General features: G+C 36.7%; 2 long non-coding RNA genes across 4 annotated transcripts in view; one reads left to right on the forward strand and one right to left on the reverse strand.

Annotated features, from left to right (window-relative positions):
• The window catches only part of LOC105374557 (uncharacterized), a 485,690-nt gene that overhangs the window by 391,093 nt on the left and 77,741 nt on the right, over positions 1-16,856 (forward strand). The gene's annotated exons all lie outside the window — the stretch shown is intronic.
• The window catches only part of LOC105374558 (uncharacterized), a 62,953-nt gene continuing 59,895 nt past the window's right edge, over positions 13,799-16,856 (reverse strand). The window contains exon 3 of the long non-coding RNA XR_925528.3: positions 13,799-14,554. This is a non-coding gene — a long non-coding RNA (uncharacterized LOC105374558). The remainder of the gene's footprint in view (positions 14,555-16,856) is intronic.

The following is a 16,856-nucleotide window of genomic DNA, read 5'->3' on the forward strand; positions in this document are numbered from 1 at the left end:
TTTCAATAAAGAAACCTGATAAACATTACTCACCCAGATGGCCCAGGTTAGGTTGACAGTATATATTCTTATTGTGATGTGATGAAAATGGCACATTATTTCTATGACTGTCCTCCTCCAAACCCGTAACCCAATCTAATCATGAGAAAACATCATACGAATCCTGAGCTATTCTGCAAAGTGCTTGAGCAGTGCTTTTGAAAACTGTTATGTCATCGAAAGCAAGAAAGGGTTGTGAAACTCTTCCAGTGCAGAGGCACATAAAACAATATGACAGCTTAAAGTATTGTGGTGCTCTAGATGAAATCCTGGAACAGAGACAAACATGATACAGTAATAACGAACATTGCCGGGCGCGATGGCTCACCCCTGTAATCACAGCACTTTGGGAGGCTGAGGCAGGTGTATCACCCGAGGCCAGGAGTTCGAAGCCAGCCTGGCCAATATGGTGAAACCCCGTCTCTACTAAAAATACAAAATTAGCCGGGAGTGGTGGCAAGCGCCTGTAATCCCAGCTACTTGGGAGGCTGAGGCAGTAGCTGGGATTCAACCCAGGAGGTGGTGGTTGCATTGAGTTGAGATCCCACCATTTCACTCCAGCCTGGGCAAGAAAAGTGAAACTCCATCTCAAAAATAAATGAATAAATAAATAATGAACATTGATTCATTAATTTTAATAACTGTAACACACTAACATAAGATGTTAACTATGGGGGCTGGGCAAGGGATTTATAGAAAATTAGTACTATCTTCTCAATTTTTCAGTAAATGAAAAAGTATTTTAAAAATAAATGTTTATTCTTAAAAACATTTACAAGGAAAATTCAACTAAATAAAGAAGAAAAAGCACAAAGTGCATGCTTCTTAGGAGCAGGATTCAAGTATTCAGAATTGCATGCTTTCCCTTTGTAATTTTAGTGTTTTTCAATTTGAATTTCTTTCTTTTCTTTCCTTCTTTCCTTTCTTTTCTTTCTTTTCTTTCTTTCCCTTCCTTCCTTCTCTTTCTTTCCCTTCCTTCCTTCCTTCCTTCCTACCTTCCTTCCTTCCTTTCTTTCTTTCTTTCTTTCTTTCTTTCTTCCTTCCTTCCTTCCTTCCTTCCTTCCTTTCTTTCTTTCTTTCTTTCTTTTCTTCTTTCCTCTTTCTTTCTTTTCCTTTCTTTCACTCACAGGGTCTCATAATGTCACCCAAGCTGGAGTGCAGTAGAGCCATCATGGCTCAGTGCAGCCTTCACCTCCTGGACTCAAGCAACCTTCCTGCCTCAGCCTCCCAAGTAGCTAGAACTACAGGTGTGTGCCACCACACCTGGCTAATTACTGTATTTTTTGTAGAGGCAAGGATTTGTCATGTTGCCCAGGCTGGTCTCAAACTCCTGGACTCAAGCAATCTGCCTGCCTCTGCCTCCCAAAGTGCTGAAATTACCGGTGTGAGCCATATCTCTCAGTCCTCAACTTTGAATTTGTTTTTTATAAAAGGAGGAGAGAGACTAAAATGGGAAGGAAGAAGGAAGGAAGAGAAAAAGAAAAGGAGAGAGGGAGGAACAGGGGAAGAGAAAGTGAGAGTGAAGGAGTAGAGGGAAGAGACAGAAGGGAGGAAAGAAACCATTGACTTGCCCAAAATTACCCACGTAATAATAGGTAAAACTAGAACTTAATTCTTAATTCTTTCAAATGCCAAAGCCCTAACATTATTAACCTTTTTTTCCCCCTTTCTATACAGAGAGGATAAAATGACTACAGAGTCAGCAATGTGTCCATTGCTTAACTGGAGCTAAAAGAAATTTCATTTCTCACCCCTTTGGCAAATTCATTGAAAATGTACTCACTGTCAGATGTTACTGAACTAAATAACCCATTATAGTCTAAAAGATAAATGTGGATTTTGCCGAAGATGTTGAGAACAGTTAAGTCAATTCTACCTGCTTTTTGTTGTAAATCTTCTGCAGAGCCAAATTTTATAACTTCTTTTGTCATATGTTCTTTGCATCATCATTGCACTTTGGTTTGCAATGGCAGATTCTGGGGCATAACGTTAGTTAAGTTGATGAAAAGGAAGTCATTCAAGTGTCTCTACAAAGTAAAACTTGTTTGAGGAGTTTATGGAGGAAATAACTTCTATTTAAGTGGAGTGAGAAAGTTCTTACTGCAATATTTTAAAGCTGTTTCACACATGCTATACTCACTTTTTAATCAGGGGAGAATAACACATAATTTTAAAAAATACTTCAGGCCAGGATATAATGATATTCTTCTTCAACACACTATATTACTCATGCAGTTAAAAGAAAGAGAATGTGCTTGGTTATTTTTTTTTCCTTTTGCCTCCCTTTATTTTACAAGCCCAGAGGTATGCAACTCATTTTCTGTGTAATTATTTTAAGACTGAGTTAGGGAACACCCTTTTTCTTTATTCTTTTATCCTGTTGTGTTTTTGGTTGGGAAGAAACTAAGCCTTTTTAATAAGTTGTGAATGTCAAGACTAGAAAGAGTTCTAAAGATGTGAATCAAACCCCTGGAGTTATTGGGCTGTGGTGATTGTTCTAGAGCCCAGGGTGAATTTTTATGGGGCCAGGCAAGTGTCCTATGCAGTTGTTAAGAAGGGACAAGAAAACACCAATTTGCAAATTTCTGCATATTTTATTTATGTGAGTGAATATTATAATACAGATATTATGAAAAATAAAATAATGGTCATTAAAACTTATCCCTATAAAAACTAGTGATATAAGAAAACTACAGAAAGACTTTCTTTTTTTAAATTAATTATTATCTAGGCCTCGCATAGTGGCTCATGCCTGTAATCCCAACACTTTGGGAGGCCGAGGCAGGCAGATCACCTGAGGGCCAGGAGGTCAAGGCCAGTCTGGCCAACATGGTGAAACCTCGACTCTACTAAAAGTACAAAAATTAACTCGGCATGGTGGCAGGCGCCTGTAACCCCAGCTACTCAGGAGGCTGAGGCAGGAGAATCACTTGACCCTGGAAGCGGAGATTGCAGTAAGCTGAGATAGCACCACTGCACTCTAGACTAGACAACAGAGCAAGACTCTGTCTCAGGAAATAATAATAATAAAATAAAAAATAATTATATGACTTTATTGGTACTACTGAGGCAAAATGACAGAAAAGCCACTTCCAGTTTTCCAAATCCTGTTTCAGATATTAAAATAACGCCAAGATTGTAGCATACACACAGTTATAATTAGGCATGTGTGCTTTTTTAAAAAACTTAATTGACAGATATACATATATAATTATTTTATCTCATTTAAATTAGATTAATTTTCATGTGAACTGGAGAAACTTTATAGGTTATAGTAATCTACATCTTATTTTATCAAATTGCATCACATTATTTCACAATTTTATAACATTATAAGGAAAGCACCAGAATAAGAGTTAGCTCTTTGGTAGCTTCTCCGAACAGTAGCCGAATCACTTGAAAAGGCTGCATGATCTTTCAAAGTTCTAATGTCCTCAAATTTAAAATGAGAATAATATTTGCTCATTTCATATTCCAGGGTCTTTAATCAATGACAAATAACATGGAGAATTTTTAAAAATTTAAGATAGCAACTATTTTTTAAGAAATAATTGTAATTAAACATTTGACATATAGGCCATTACTCTTTCACAAAACATTAAACCTTCATAAGCAATTAATTGAATTTACTCATTTAAAATTTTATAAAGGTTTTACATACAAGTAAATTAATATTTTATATGTGAAAATATTGAAAGGCTTCAAGATTAAAGAAAAAATGATTTTCTTTTTCTTTTTTCTTTTTTTTTTTTTTTTTTGAGACGGAGTCTCACTCTGTCGCCCAGGCTGGAGTGCCTCAGCCTCCCGAGTAGCTGAAAAAAAGACTTTCTAAATTAAAAAAATACATATTTTGACTCAGTATACTGTCTTGTAAATAGAAAAAGATTAGTAGTTATTATTTAGGAAAGATACAACTGGAAATCCTTCTAGTAAATAAATAAGAACAACATATTAACATTCATCAGTTAGGAACATCATTTTAATACCCTTGAAGATACTAAAAAACAATTTGTATATATCAATATTTTGAATAGTAATTTTGATACTTTTGTTTACATTATATTTTTTCTTAACATTTTTACTTAGAGTATTTAAAAATTTAAACAATTTTAACCTTAATTATCATGTGATAATATATTACATGTATCTCAGTGTAAAGAATATTAATTACATAGGCTCTGAATTCATATTTCTAGTACATTATTTATGAGGGTATTGCTAAAATAGCAATCTTATAATAATTCTGCAGCAAAATTATCAGGTATTAATTTCTTCCTCTATGACTAGGGTGCTTTTCACTTGAAATGTTACCGTTGAACTTGATTCATTTCAGATTATACAATTCTAAATGTATAAATATTTAAATAAGAGCTTGTCAGAAGTTTACTTATAAAACTATTTACAAATAGACAAGGCAGTTTCACAAATAATATCTGGGATGATAATTTATAATATTTTGCAAAACAAATTGTTTCAATTGATACAAAAGTAATTTGGAAGCAATCGAGTATATACCATAACTGATATGCTAATTATAGGTTGTTATTTATTAAAATAAGTTCCCTAAAGGTGGACTTTTGCTAAAGAATGTGCAATTTTGAAGGTAGTCTACGAATCAGACCAGCCCTACTCCAAATGATCAAATTCAGTAAGATTAAGCAATGTATCTTCTATGTTGTATTCAAATTGTCAAAATCTTAAGTATGTATCTTGTATCTCATTTTTATTTTTATAATTTTCCATGGGTAACAATAAGAGGTAATACGTGTAATGTTGTAGTAACATATAATCCCATACACACTTTAGTTCATTCCCAGAACGTGGCAGATAAATTCTTTCCTAAGAGTCCTAGATTCAACTAATAATTTTCTTAAACACAATGAAATTTTTGTCATCTTTACTTAGTAACTAAAACCAATATTTTTCACTTACATTCTCTCATCAGTCTTAATTAAACCACTGGTCATGGGAAAACAAGCTTTTAGTTTTAGAGTTATGCAATATGTTAGATGAATGCCATATTTTTTTCTAATGGATCCCTAAATGGAAGCCACATTTTAATGTATTCAGCCCATCCCAAGTCATATCCTGAGTTTAAGAGTTTAGAAATTTTATTGTATACTTAGACGGTATAAAGCTTAAAATGACTAACTTCTACTGAAACATGTAGAAGACTAATATATAAATCAGAGATCTGTGTATTATTTTCAATGAAGACTATAACATCTAGATCAGATATTTATTTGGGCCTGGAGAGATCATCGTTTTTTGTTTTTTTTTTCCTCTAGGCAAACCATTGGAAAGTCAGATAATAGATGGCTGCCTGGGGATGATAACAAAAGAAAGGGGTATTATGTGGAGTATTCAAATCTCTCACAACATCAGACTTACATATCCTGATGTAATCACCTTCTATATAGGGATCTAGCTGCCAGGAAGATGTTGAGTTGCCCTGGATGACATTTTCAGTTCTTAACAACATGAGTAACATTGGCCTTTGTAACTATTTTTTCTTTTCCATTCATTCTTGACTCACCAACTAAGCTTTTATTTTTTTTTATTTTTTATTTTTTTATTGATCATTCTTGGGTGTTTCTCGCAGAGGGGGATTTGGCAGGGTCATAGGACAATAGTGGAGGGAAGGTCAGCAGATAAACAAGTGAACAAAGGTCTCTGGTTTTCCTAGGCAGAGGACCCTGCGGGCCTTCCGCAGTGTTTGTGTCCCTGGGTACTTGAGATTAGGGAGTGGTGATGACTCTTAACCAGCATGCTGCCTTCAAGCATCTGTTTAACAAAGCACATCTTGCACCGCCCTTAATCCATTTAACCCTGAGTGGACACAGCACATGTTTCAGAGAGCACAGGGTTGGGGGTACAGTCATAGATCAACAGGATCCCAAGGCAGAATTTTTCTTAGTACAGAACAAAATGAAAAGTCTCCCATGTCTACTTCTTTCTACACAGACACAGCAACCATCCGATTTCTCAATCTTTTCCCCACCTTTCCCCCTTTTCTATTCCACAAAACCGCCATTGTCATCATGGCCCGTTCTCAATGAGCTGTTGGGTACACCTCCCAGACGGGGTGGTGGGCGGGCAGAGGGGCTCCTCACTTCCCAGTAGGGGCAGCCGGGCAGAGGCGCCCCCCACCTCCCGGATGGGGCAGCTGGCCGGACGGGTGCTGACCCACCACCTCCCTCCCGGACGGGGCGGCTGGCTGGGCGGGGGCTGACCCCCCACCTCCCTCCCGGATGGGGCGGCTGGCCTGGTGGGGGCTGACCCCCACCTCCCTCCCGGACGGGGTGGCTGCCGGGCGGAGATGCTCCTCACTTCCCAGATGGGGTGGCTGCCGGGCGGAGGGGCTCCTCACTTCTCAGAAGGGGCGGCTGCCGGGCGGAGGTCTCCTCACTTCTCAGAGGGGGCGGCCGGGCAGAGACGCTCCTCACCTCCCAGACAGGGTTGCGGCCGGGCAGAGGCGCTCCTCACATCCCAGACGGGGCGGCGGGGCAGAGGCGCTCCCCACATCTCAGATGATGGGCGGCCGGGCAGAGACGCTCCTCACTTCCTAGATGGCAGGGCGGCCGGGAAGAGGCGCTCGTCACTTCCTAGATGGGATGGCGGCTGGGCAGAGACGCTCCTCACTTTCCAGACTGGGCAGCCAGGCAGAGGGGCTCCTCACATCCCAGACGATGGGCGGCCAGGCAGAGACGCTCTTCACTTCCCAGACAGGGTGGCGGCCGGGCAGAGGCTGCAATCTCGGCACTTTGGGAGGCCAAGGCAGGCAGCTGGGAGGTGGAGGTTGTAGCGAGCCGAGATCAGGCCACACTGCACTCCAGCCTGGGCACCATTGATCACTGAGTGAACGAGACTCCGTCTGCAATCCCGGCACCTCCGGAGGCTGAGGCTGGCAGGTCACTCGCGGTTAGGAGCTGGAGACCAGCCCTGCCAACACAGCGAAACCCCGTCTCCACCAAAAAAATAGGAAAACCAATCAGGCATGGCGGCGCGTGCCTGCAATCGCAGGCACTCGGCAGGCTGAGGCAGGAGAATCAGGCAGGGAGGTTGCAGTGAGCCGAGATGGCAGCAGTACAGTCCAGCTTCGGCTCAGCATCAGAGGGAGACCGTGGAAAGAGAGGGAGAGGGAGACCGTGGGGAGAGGGAGAGGGCGAGGGCGAGGGAGAGGGAGAGGGAGAGGGAGAGGAGGCCTTGCTTTCTTGCTTTTAATTAACCTTTTGGTTAATTGAAATAAATAAAATAGCTACTATTAGTTAACATTTATTGTTAAGTGCTTACAATGTGCTAGAAAGCATTCTCATCATGTTATATTAATTATCTTATTGAATCCTCTCAACCATCCTGCTAAAAGCCAACATTTTACAGATCAGAAAACTAAACTGTAGACCGGTAAATTAACAAGACTTGAGTCGATGTCATCAGTAAGACACAGATGTAGTACTCAAACTCGAGTGTGTTTAAATATAAACTGTAAATCCCCAATCTCGGTGCCTTTCATTTCTCTTCATGCTAGGGCAATCTTGCTCTCATTTTTATCTGCATTTTGGGGAGTGTAAAACACCTCTAGATTTCATAATAGTACCACCAACATTCTTACTGCAGATGACAAAGCTGAGTTTCAAAATAACGTGTTCAAGTTTCTCAGCTAGTAAGGACTAGTAAGGGACCTGAACCTGAATCTTCCTTTAAAACAGACACTTGCCGCAGAGGTGGCCTCCTCATGGTAAGCTCTGTTCTTCCATATGTGAACAAAATTCAATAACTGACTGGGCAAAAGAGCTCTTCGGAGTAGTTATTTCCTTGGGGAGTACTGCTGGTTAAGCCTACAGTATAAAATCCAAAGGGTTTCATCATCAAGAGCAGGTAAGTTCAGTATGGTGTGTGCACTTTTCTTTAATTCATTTTTACCATCCCTGTAGTAAACATGGTCACAAATAAACCTATCAAAACTCTCATTTAATGCCCAGAATATTCTCTTCATCGCCACGCAAACACTTATCTCTGCAGCCCTCTCAGTTATCACAGGGACAGCTAGAGATTTCCATTTTGAGGAAATTAACCTTTTATTGCCCAGCACAGTTCTTCAAAGCCACTTGCTGTTGTTTCAATCTAAATTACTCAGGAGTGACGAATTACAGCCACTGCATAAGAAAAGATTACCTGGGAGGTCAAGGGCTTTCTTTCTCAGTTACAGAAAAAAAAAAAAAAAAACAGATATTGTTAAATAACGCTAAATTTCCCTTGAAAAACATTTCAAGGAATCATGTAGTAGATTATAACAGAAAATGATCAACCTAATATTTTTGCAACAAAGATGAATGAAAATTATATACACATATGGTATGTGTATGTTTGCATCTGTAGAGTAACTCTAATGCTAGTCAAAACTTCTACTTACGGCATTTATCCAGATTAAATTAAATGTGAAATCAAGGAAAATTACAATCTGGGTATAAATGAGGCAGATGTAGACTGTGAAGTCACTTCGCTCATTCCATTATGGATATTGCATTAAAATTACATACCTCATGCCCTAAAAGCTGATGAAATAGTTTGGTTCCTTACTAAAAAAATTTCTTCAGTATATAGCATAATGCTCATAAGTAAGTGTAAAATCAACGAATGAATGAATGAACAAATGAAAGGGCAATAGGCAAATTATGAAAAGCCTGTAAGAAAGAGCATAAAGGCTTACATAAATAAAAAAAACCTGTCATCTAAAATGGAAAACTCTCCACGATTTTTTTGTCAGTCCCGAAGACCAGAGTCATTTGGAACAGAGCTGAGATCAATTTGAAAAATAAAATCTATATTTAAAAAAAGATTTTAAAGACACTAGTTCTGGCTGTTCTTTAGTCTGACAAAGTTAGTTAAAATCAGAGAATTATAAAGTATTCTCAATTTTCAGTTGACTTATTTTAAAAATACTTGATTTAATAGTAATTTTGTTATAGCCTAAAATAATCGCAGCCTCTTAGAATTCAAGGTAATGGAATTTGTTTTATAGTATCTGCAATAGCCTCTTTCTTACATGGGTAACAGAAGGATGAACCACTTGGTTTCAGATTCTCATGTTGTGTGTAAAGGTGGCTCCAGCCATCTCTGTTATTTCACAGTACCCTTAGTGTGTGGACTATCTTCTGCTTTGATAATAATGGATTTCTTTCCTCTTTGAATCTGCTACCGGTTAAAACATTTTGTACAACCTTGAAGGTGTACTTGGCTTTCTGCTATTATTATCTCCATCTATAGTTATACAGAAATTTAAAATATGTGATTTATAATCAAACATTGTTATAAAAGTAGTTTTTGTTTTGTTTTTTGTTTTTTTTTTTTTTTTTACAAAGAGGACTTCATATAATTTTTAGAGAAACTTTTAAATGATGTATGCTTGGGAGGCTGAGGCGGGCGGATCACCTGAGGTCGGGAGTTTGAGACCAGCCTGACGAACATGGAGAAGCCCGTCTCTACTAAAAATACAAAATTAGCCGAAACGTGGTGGTGCATGCCTGTAATCCCAGCTACTCGAGAGGCTGAGGCAGGAGAATCTCTTGAACCTGGGAGAAGGAAGTTGTGGTGAGCCGAGATGGCGCCATTGCACTCCAGCCTGGGCGACAAGAGAGAAACTCTGTCTCAAAAAAAAAAAAAAAAGAAATATGCATATTTTCATTTTATGGATGAAGGTACAGTGCCTGGTATAGCCTAACTGCTCAATAATTTATTATTAAATAGATAAAAGAAGCTCATAAAGTTAGACAACTTTCCTAAAGTCATGTAGAAAGTGTATACCAGTCTAGGAACTTAGCCATCTCACTCTTTGTGGTCTACCCTTGGATTATTGGGGAAGTATGTGTGGAGCACCAAGTATCTGCTTTGCAGAAGGAATGTTCTCAAAATTCACTTTAAAGCCAGCTTTTTTTTTTTTTTTTGCATAAGGGCTCAGACATTTTTCATCCCATATTTTTAAGAGATAACCATTAAATGTCTTCGTTTTTATCTTGTAGTAAGCCTCTGAATCATCTGTCTTCTTAGAATAAAGGCCTCAAATGGTGGAGCCTCAATTTTAACATGCTCTTTGATGAATTAACATTTGCTCTAATAGTCTCTCTTTATCTTTACAACCTAAGGACAATTTATAAAAGTTTCAAATCTCTGTCTTAAATAATAGTATCTGAAAATTTTCTCTTTTTAAAAGAAAGTATATAGTTAGCAGTGGACCCTGCAGATTGTCTTCCTCCTTACTGAACCTAGCACTGCTCCATATGCCATGTGTATCTGTGGAAACTGACCTCATCTCAACTTTAGCAGTAGACTTAGTTTAGGTAAAGACAGTTGGCTTTGGAATTTCCTGAGTGACTCAGGGGGTGAGCAGTAGGACTATGTTTGTCCCATCACACTGAATATAAGGACTTACATTTTTCCATCTATTGAGAAATATGACTGTTTTGATTATTAATTGCTGCATCACAAACACTTCTTCCCTCCCACTAAAAAAAACAACAACAACAACAAGAACAAAGCAATGGTTTAAACAATGGTCATTTATTTAATTCACAAACCAGTAATCTGGGCAAGACAATGTGAGGATAACTCGTGTCCATTCCATGTGGCATCAGCTGGGCAGCTGGACTGGGAATGGAAGATTCACATTTAAGATAGTAATTTACATGAATCATTAGATAGTGTGGGCTGTTCCCTGGGAGTTCAGCTAGCCACAGTTGTTCTTCATGGGGGCCTGTTCTGGGGCTTGTTAGACTTTTGCACAGTATGGCCATCGGGCTGCAAAAGCAAGTGTTCAAAGACAGACAAAGTAGAAGCTACCAGTATTTTAGGGCTTGGGTCTAGGAGAAAGCACAGATTCACTTTTGCCATATTCCATTGTTCAAATAGACATAGATCTCACCCAAATTCAAGGGGATGGTACATAGAATTCATCTCAAGAGGGAGAAATATCAAATTATTTGTGGCTATCCTTAATGTTGCATGATGAGTAAGAAAACCTGTAGCAGTGATAGACACTATCTTGAAATCAAGAGAGGAACAAGCTTTTAGGTGAATTTAATCCAATGGATTTCAGATTTATGAGAAGAACCTGGGTCTTTGAAAACAATGAGCCACTTAGTCAACCTGCCTGAAAATGTCACTATGTGTGAGATTCCACCTATGTGAGATAATAAATGCAATACTTTTCAAAGCAAGTCAAATTAAGAATATTTGTTAGTTGTGTTAAAAAGATAAACTGAGGTAAATATAATTTATATAATGTATTTAAACAAACAGTAATTCATGAATAGGGCAGCTCTAAGCAAGAAGTGGTTCTTCAATGCCATTGAAAAAGCATAAGGGATATACTTTTATAGAATGAATCAGAAGGTAATACAAAGAAAATGTTTAACTGATAAGCATCATAAAATTGCCTTATTTGCTCCATCCCACTGAAAAATCCCTAGTTCTGTAATCATGTTATCTGGCTTCCTTTTATTGGTTTAAGCTTAAGTTCTGTTTTTCTTTAATATAGGCATTTACAAGAAATGACCCGCATTTTCTGCCTATATTTGCAACTTAAGCAAGGTTAAAGTTATTTTCAAGGCCGAAGTGGCTTGGTTAGCTCAGGGATTTTCATTAAAATGATCTTCATTTTAATTTGCTTTAATAGTTTCTACTTAAGCTATTCTAACTGATACAAAGTCATGCTAGGATTTAAAAGACAATATGCAAAAATTTGATCTGGTTTATATCTCTAAAAGCCTGTAGTTAGAAACAAAAAGGTAAGTGTGAGAATCAGTAAAAGAAGGAGGAATAAATTATTTAATTTCTGTTTCTTAGAAATGATATGGGTCATACTAAATTTATTCTTAAACAACAAAGAACAACTGAATTAATACTAATTAGTAATGTGCCAACTCCCTTGAGCCAAATGAAAATTTCTTTATTATCAAGAGTGGATAGTGATGCATTATTTGATTTGTTTTACAATCTCTGTGGCAGATTTTAACTACATTCTAATTAATTTACTAATGGGATTTGAGCACTAATTGGCATTTTACAAAATCTTCAGAATTGTAAAAAAATAAGATGTTGTACAAGTCTTGTCAGAAACAATTGGTTTATCTGTCATTCTGTCAATCAAAAATTTTCAATATTGAGAAATTTGAAATCTGCCTTGAATAATAATCTAGGACTAGTTTGTATGTTAAAAACACTAAATTTCACAAAATAAAAATTCATCTTTGAGCATTATATTTTTCCATTTCACCTGTCTTGTAAAATGAAAATAATAGCCAGAAAAGCATTATATTAAATTTATCTTTCCTTCCTTCCTTCCTTCCTTCCTTCCTTCCTTCCTTCCTCTCCTTCTACCTCTCCTTCTCTCTGTCTCTCTTCTTCTCTCTCTTTCTCTTTCACTACTTAATAAAAATAACTGAATTGGTAGCGTTTATATCTACTAGAAGGAGACGTCACAAATTCTTTCCAGTATTAGTATTATCTAAGAAATTTATGCTAAAATTTTAAACCCCACACCTGAGAGAGTATATTTTGTTAAGTGTAAATAAAATCAGTAAATTATGAAGTATTTCATGTGATCCTGTTCAGGGACTGCTCTGTGAGAAAATATCTGATGAGGAAAATTAAGCAGGCAGTGGCATGAAAGGGAAAGGGCAAGAATGGACCCAAATGCAGATCCAAATGTAACTAAATAGATCAGTTAGTCTACAACCTGCCACAAATGTGGGTTTTAATTCCTAATAATGACCCTGAGTTACTGCATTTTTAAAAATTATAGCCTAAATCATCAAATATGTTTGATCAATATAATGCTATAGTTACTAAATTTAAAGTATAATTGAACATTTTTAAAATGCATGATTCTGAATGCCAGTATTTGAGACCAGAAGATGTAATTTCTTTGAATAAATTCAAACAAGATTTTTTGAGATGCATATTTTTAAAAACCATTGTCTATGCAAAATAAGTAAGACTATGACTTAGTAAAAATTATCTTTGACTAAATCAGGCATAAAATAAAGTATTAGTACTTGTAAAACCTTCTATAACATGACAACATATAATTAATGTTCTTATGCTAATTATACTTCTACAACCATGATTAAATTCCCCCAGTCCCAAACTCCAGTCTCCACCTCTCTCTTTTCTCTTTCTCTCTCTCTTTTGCTCTCTCTCCTCTCCATACCTCATTGTCATTCTCATTAAGTGGGCATACTAACACAGGCTGTTATTTGGGACCTTGGTCAAGTATTGTACTCTCTCATAGCCTAAATGTCCTTATTTTTAAAATAAGCACTTTTATGAGATGATTTCTCATGTTTTAAAGCTCTGTCTCATTTCTCTGTCTCTTACCAACTCCTCTCTTTGTGTGTATGTGTATACATATGAATTCACATACATTTATACACACATATATGCATCCGATTCCTCTACTTTGATGCTCGCTGCTCACATCCAGCATTATGTTTAATATTATTTCAATTTATATCATTTTAATAGATTCACATGTGAAGATGATTAAGTAATGTAATATGCATAATTAATCCCATCAATGCCAGCACCCTAATGATTATATACAAATATTTGTATGCCTCTGAACAACAAAACACATAACCTAATTTAGTATTTGTTATAACCCTGAGAAGGAAATCTTCCAGTTTAAATTTGTTTTAGTATTGCTGCATCTAATAACTGACAAGGTGAGATAATCTTTCTTGTTCCCATTAGTACCAAAATTTAATGCTTCTGTGAAAAATAAAACATTTCTGGACCTGCACAGGTGAGTCTTACTTTCTTCACAAATAAACCTGGGAGTAGTTGGTCTTAATAAGCTGCCTCTGTCTTCATTTGTAAAAATTGTAAAAAAAAATGGAATGACATCATATTGAGAGGGGAAATATAGCAAAAAGTATGTAAGAATTGTAAATCTGTTATGCTTGTCACAATGTTGAACGGGTACAGAATAAATGAAGAAATATACACTTCTTTAAATTTTCATAACTATGCTCTGGTACATACCATTTTTGCTGACCTACGCAAGGCTGTAAGTCTGTTATATTTCTGAAAAAGGTTTTTATGGCCTTTTGGTATTGGATATTGTCAATTTGTTCATATTTTACTTAAATCTTTATATTACAATGAGAATTTGACATAACCAGCTAACAAAGTATTATAAGGTTTAGTACAGTACATTTTAGACAAATGGATAATACTTCACAGACCCTAAGCTGGATTGGTATTTTGCTGGGTGGTCTGTCTCATGTATAGAAGGTACGCATCACTTCTGAGCACATTAAGGGTATGTTCCTGCATAAATGGTAAACACTCAAGTCATTAAAATGTAAAGAGTGCAGTAGGAGAGACAGTTCAAAGGAACATTGAAGACAGGCCAGTTTGGGAGATTTTCCTCTTCTTTTTTTTCTTCCTTAATTTATTCTGTTTTATCTTCATCTTCAAAACTTATTTACCAGTCTTGCTTCAGTGAGGTGAGAACCTGATTAAGGATAAGATGTTAAGGAATTAATACACTGCAGAATTGACTCCCTCTCAAGTTGCATTTATTTGTTAAAATAAGTAATATCTTTAATACAGCATCCTTGAAGCATGGTGTATTTGGCATCACTCATATAGCTGAGCTAACCCCTCCCTTACACACACAGGCACACACACAAACACACCAGTATATTAATTATTACCTACTATATCGGCCCTATTAGCAAGTCACCAATGTCAACCACTATAATTTCTGGTTAAGGGTCAGCTTTTCCTCCAAGTTTATATTTTCTTCCTTATCTCATGGTTTAGTTAAACACCAAAAAAAACCAATAAAGCATCATCTTGGTGAATGTCGAAATCTTGTGTTAACTTGCACTCCATTATGTCCCTTTAGCCACAAAATAGAGCTGAACCTATTATAGAAATTCCTAAAAATCTATTCCAATGAGGAAAATAAAAAAGAACAGATTTGTGTCCAGGAAAGCTAACTAAATCTATTGTCCTAACCTAGGAATTGTACTTCTACTTGGAGGCCTATGTTTGTGTAGTACAATGTCAGCCCTGGACCTCTTCCCAAGGGAAAACAACACCATAGTATTGCCAAGAATTATCCTGGCTTAACCTCTGCATTAATTACTACAACAGCCTGAATGCTACCCTAAGTCATTCTCATTAGCCTGAGGCCCCCCTTATATGCAGCAAGAATACACCAAAACGTCATAAAGAAATCCCTTTTCGCAGCCTCTCTCTTCTGTTAATTGGCTTCACTGTCTCCTCAATTCAAATTTCATAACAAAGTGATAACGATTACATCAACCTGGAGGAGAACAGATGGCAGAAAACCTGAGTTCTGGCACTACTGCTGCCAATTATGAGATCTGTGATCTTGGAAATTCACTTGACTTCTGTATCTGTTTTCTTATAAAGTAAGAAAAATCATGTCAGCCTCACAGGATTGTTGTGAGAAAGATGTTTAAAACAAATTGGAAGCATATTATGATGAAAGGCATTTCCATTATAATAATTACTGGTTACTTGGCAGAAAGAAAACACACACCCTGTTCAATGGTATAACACCTCCTGGTATTCCTCACTACACTGGTACTGCAATTATCAGCATGTCTTTCTATAAAGTCATATATAATGGGTTTCAGGTCCTTAAAAAATAATTTCTAATAATATTATGTAACATATTCTTCTAAAATTCGGTGTTTCTAAAGGCAATTCAAGGAGAGGGGACCTTGTAGAAGTATTTTCCTATACAGCGTGGTCTATAGACCAGTACCCACAATGAACATTAGTTGAACAAATGAGAACAAATGTTTGAAAAGTTTTTATAGAACTTTGGCCAATAACTTCATGTCCATCGAACATAATAATAAAAATCAAGACTGCATTTTATATGTATTTTTATTTATTTTCTAGTAGTTCATTTGTGCTCTATTTCACAAAGTTTTGGTAAACAACACATTGAAAAACAAAATTCCTCAGCAGAGGTAGATTGAGAAACACTGGTTAAGAAAACATTGTCCAATGCTCTATTTAGCGTCGTTTTATAAACAGGATAGATGCCACCCATGTTACAATGTGTTTCATCAACATTCCCTATAGAACTTTCTAAGGTTAACTAACATCCTCGTATAAATGCTTATGCAAATATTAGAGCTCATGATTCCCTTAGTCCAGATATCTAACAGTTTATTAAAAATGTGAAAATACCTTGACAATAGATGTTAGGTTATGATTTTCTATAAAAATTGACTACAAAATAAATGGGTATTAATTCAAATAGATTGTTAATGATTAAGATGCCTACTATTAAACTACAAAAATAACTATCTAAAAATTGAAATATCAAAAAGGAAAGGGAGACAAATGATAAAAGACTAAAGAAAATAGTAAGGGCCAACAGAAATCGTTTCAGAAAAACTAGAGAAAAAAGGGATATACGACTTTCAAGTTTTAAAACAGCCCTCTAAAAAAAGTAGAATAAAAGCCAAAATTGACAAATGGGATCTAATTAAACTAAAGAGCTTCTGCACAGCAAAAGAAACTACCATCAGAGTGAACAGGCAACCTAAAAAATGGGAGAAAATTTTCGCAACCTACTCATCTGACAAAGGGCTAATATCCAGAATCTACAATGAACTCAAACAAATGTACAAGAAAAAAACAAACAACCCCATCAAGAAGTGGGCAAAGTATATGAACAAACACTTCTCAAAAGAAGACATTTATGCAGCCAAAAGACACATGGAAAAATGCTCATCATCACTGGCCATCAGAGAAATGCAAATCAA

Source organism: Homo sapiens, chromosome 4, assembly GCF_000001405.40.
Source record: "Homo sapiens chromosome 4, GRCh38.p14 Primary Assembly".
Classification (NCBI taxonomy): domain Eukaryota; kingdom Metazoa; phylum Chordata; class Mammalia; order Primates; family Hominidae; genus Homo; species Homo sapiens.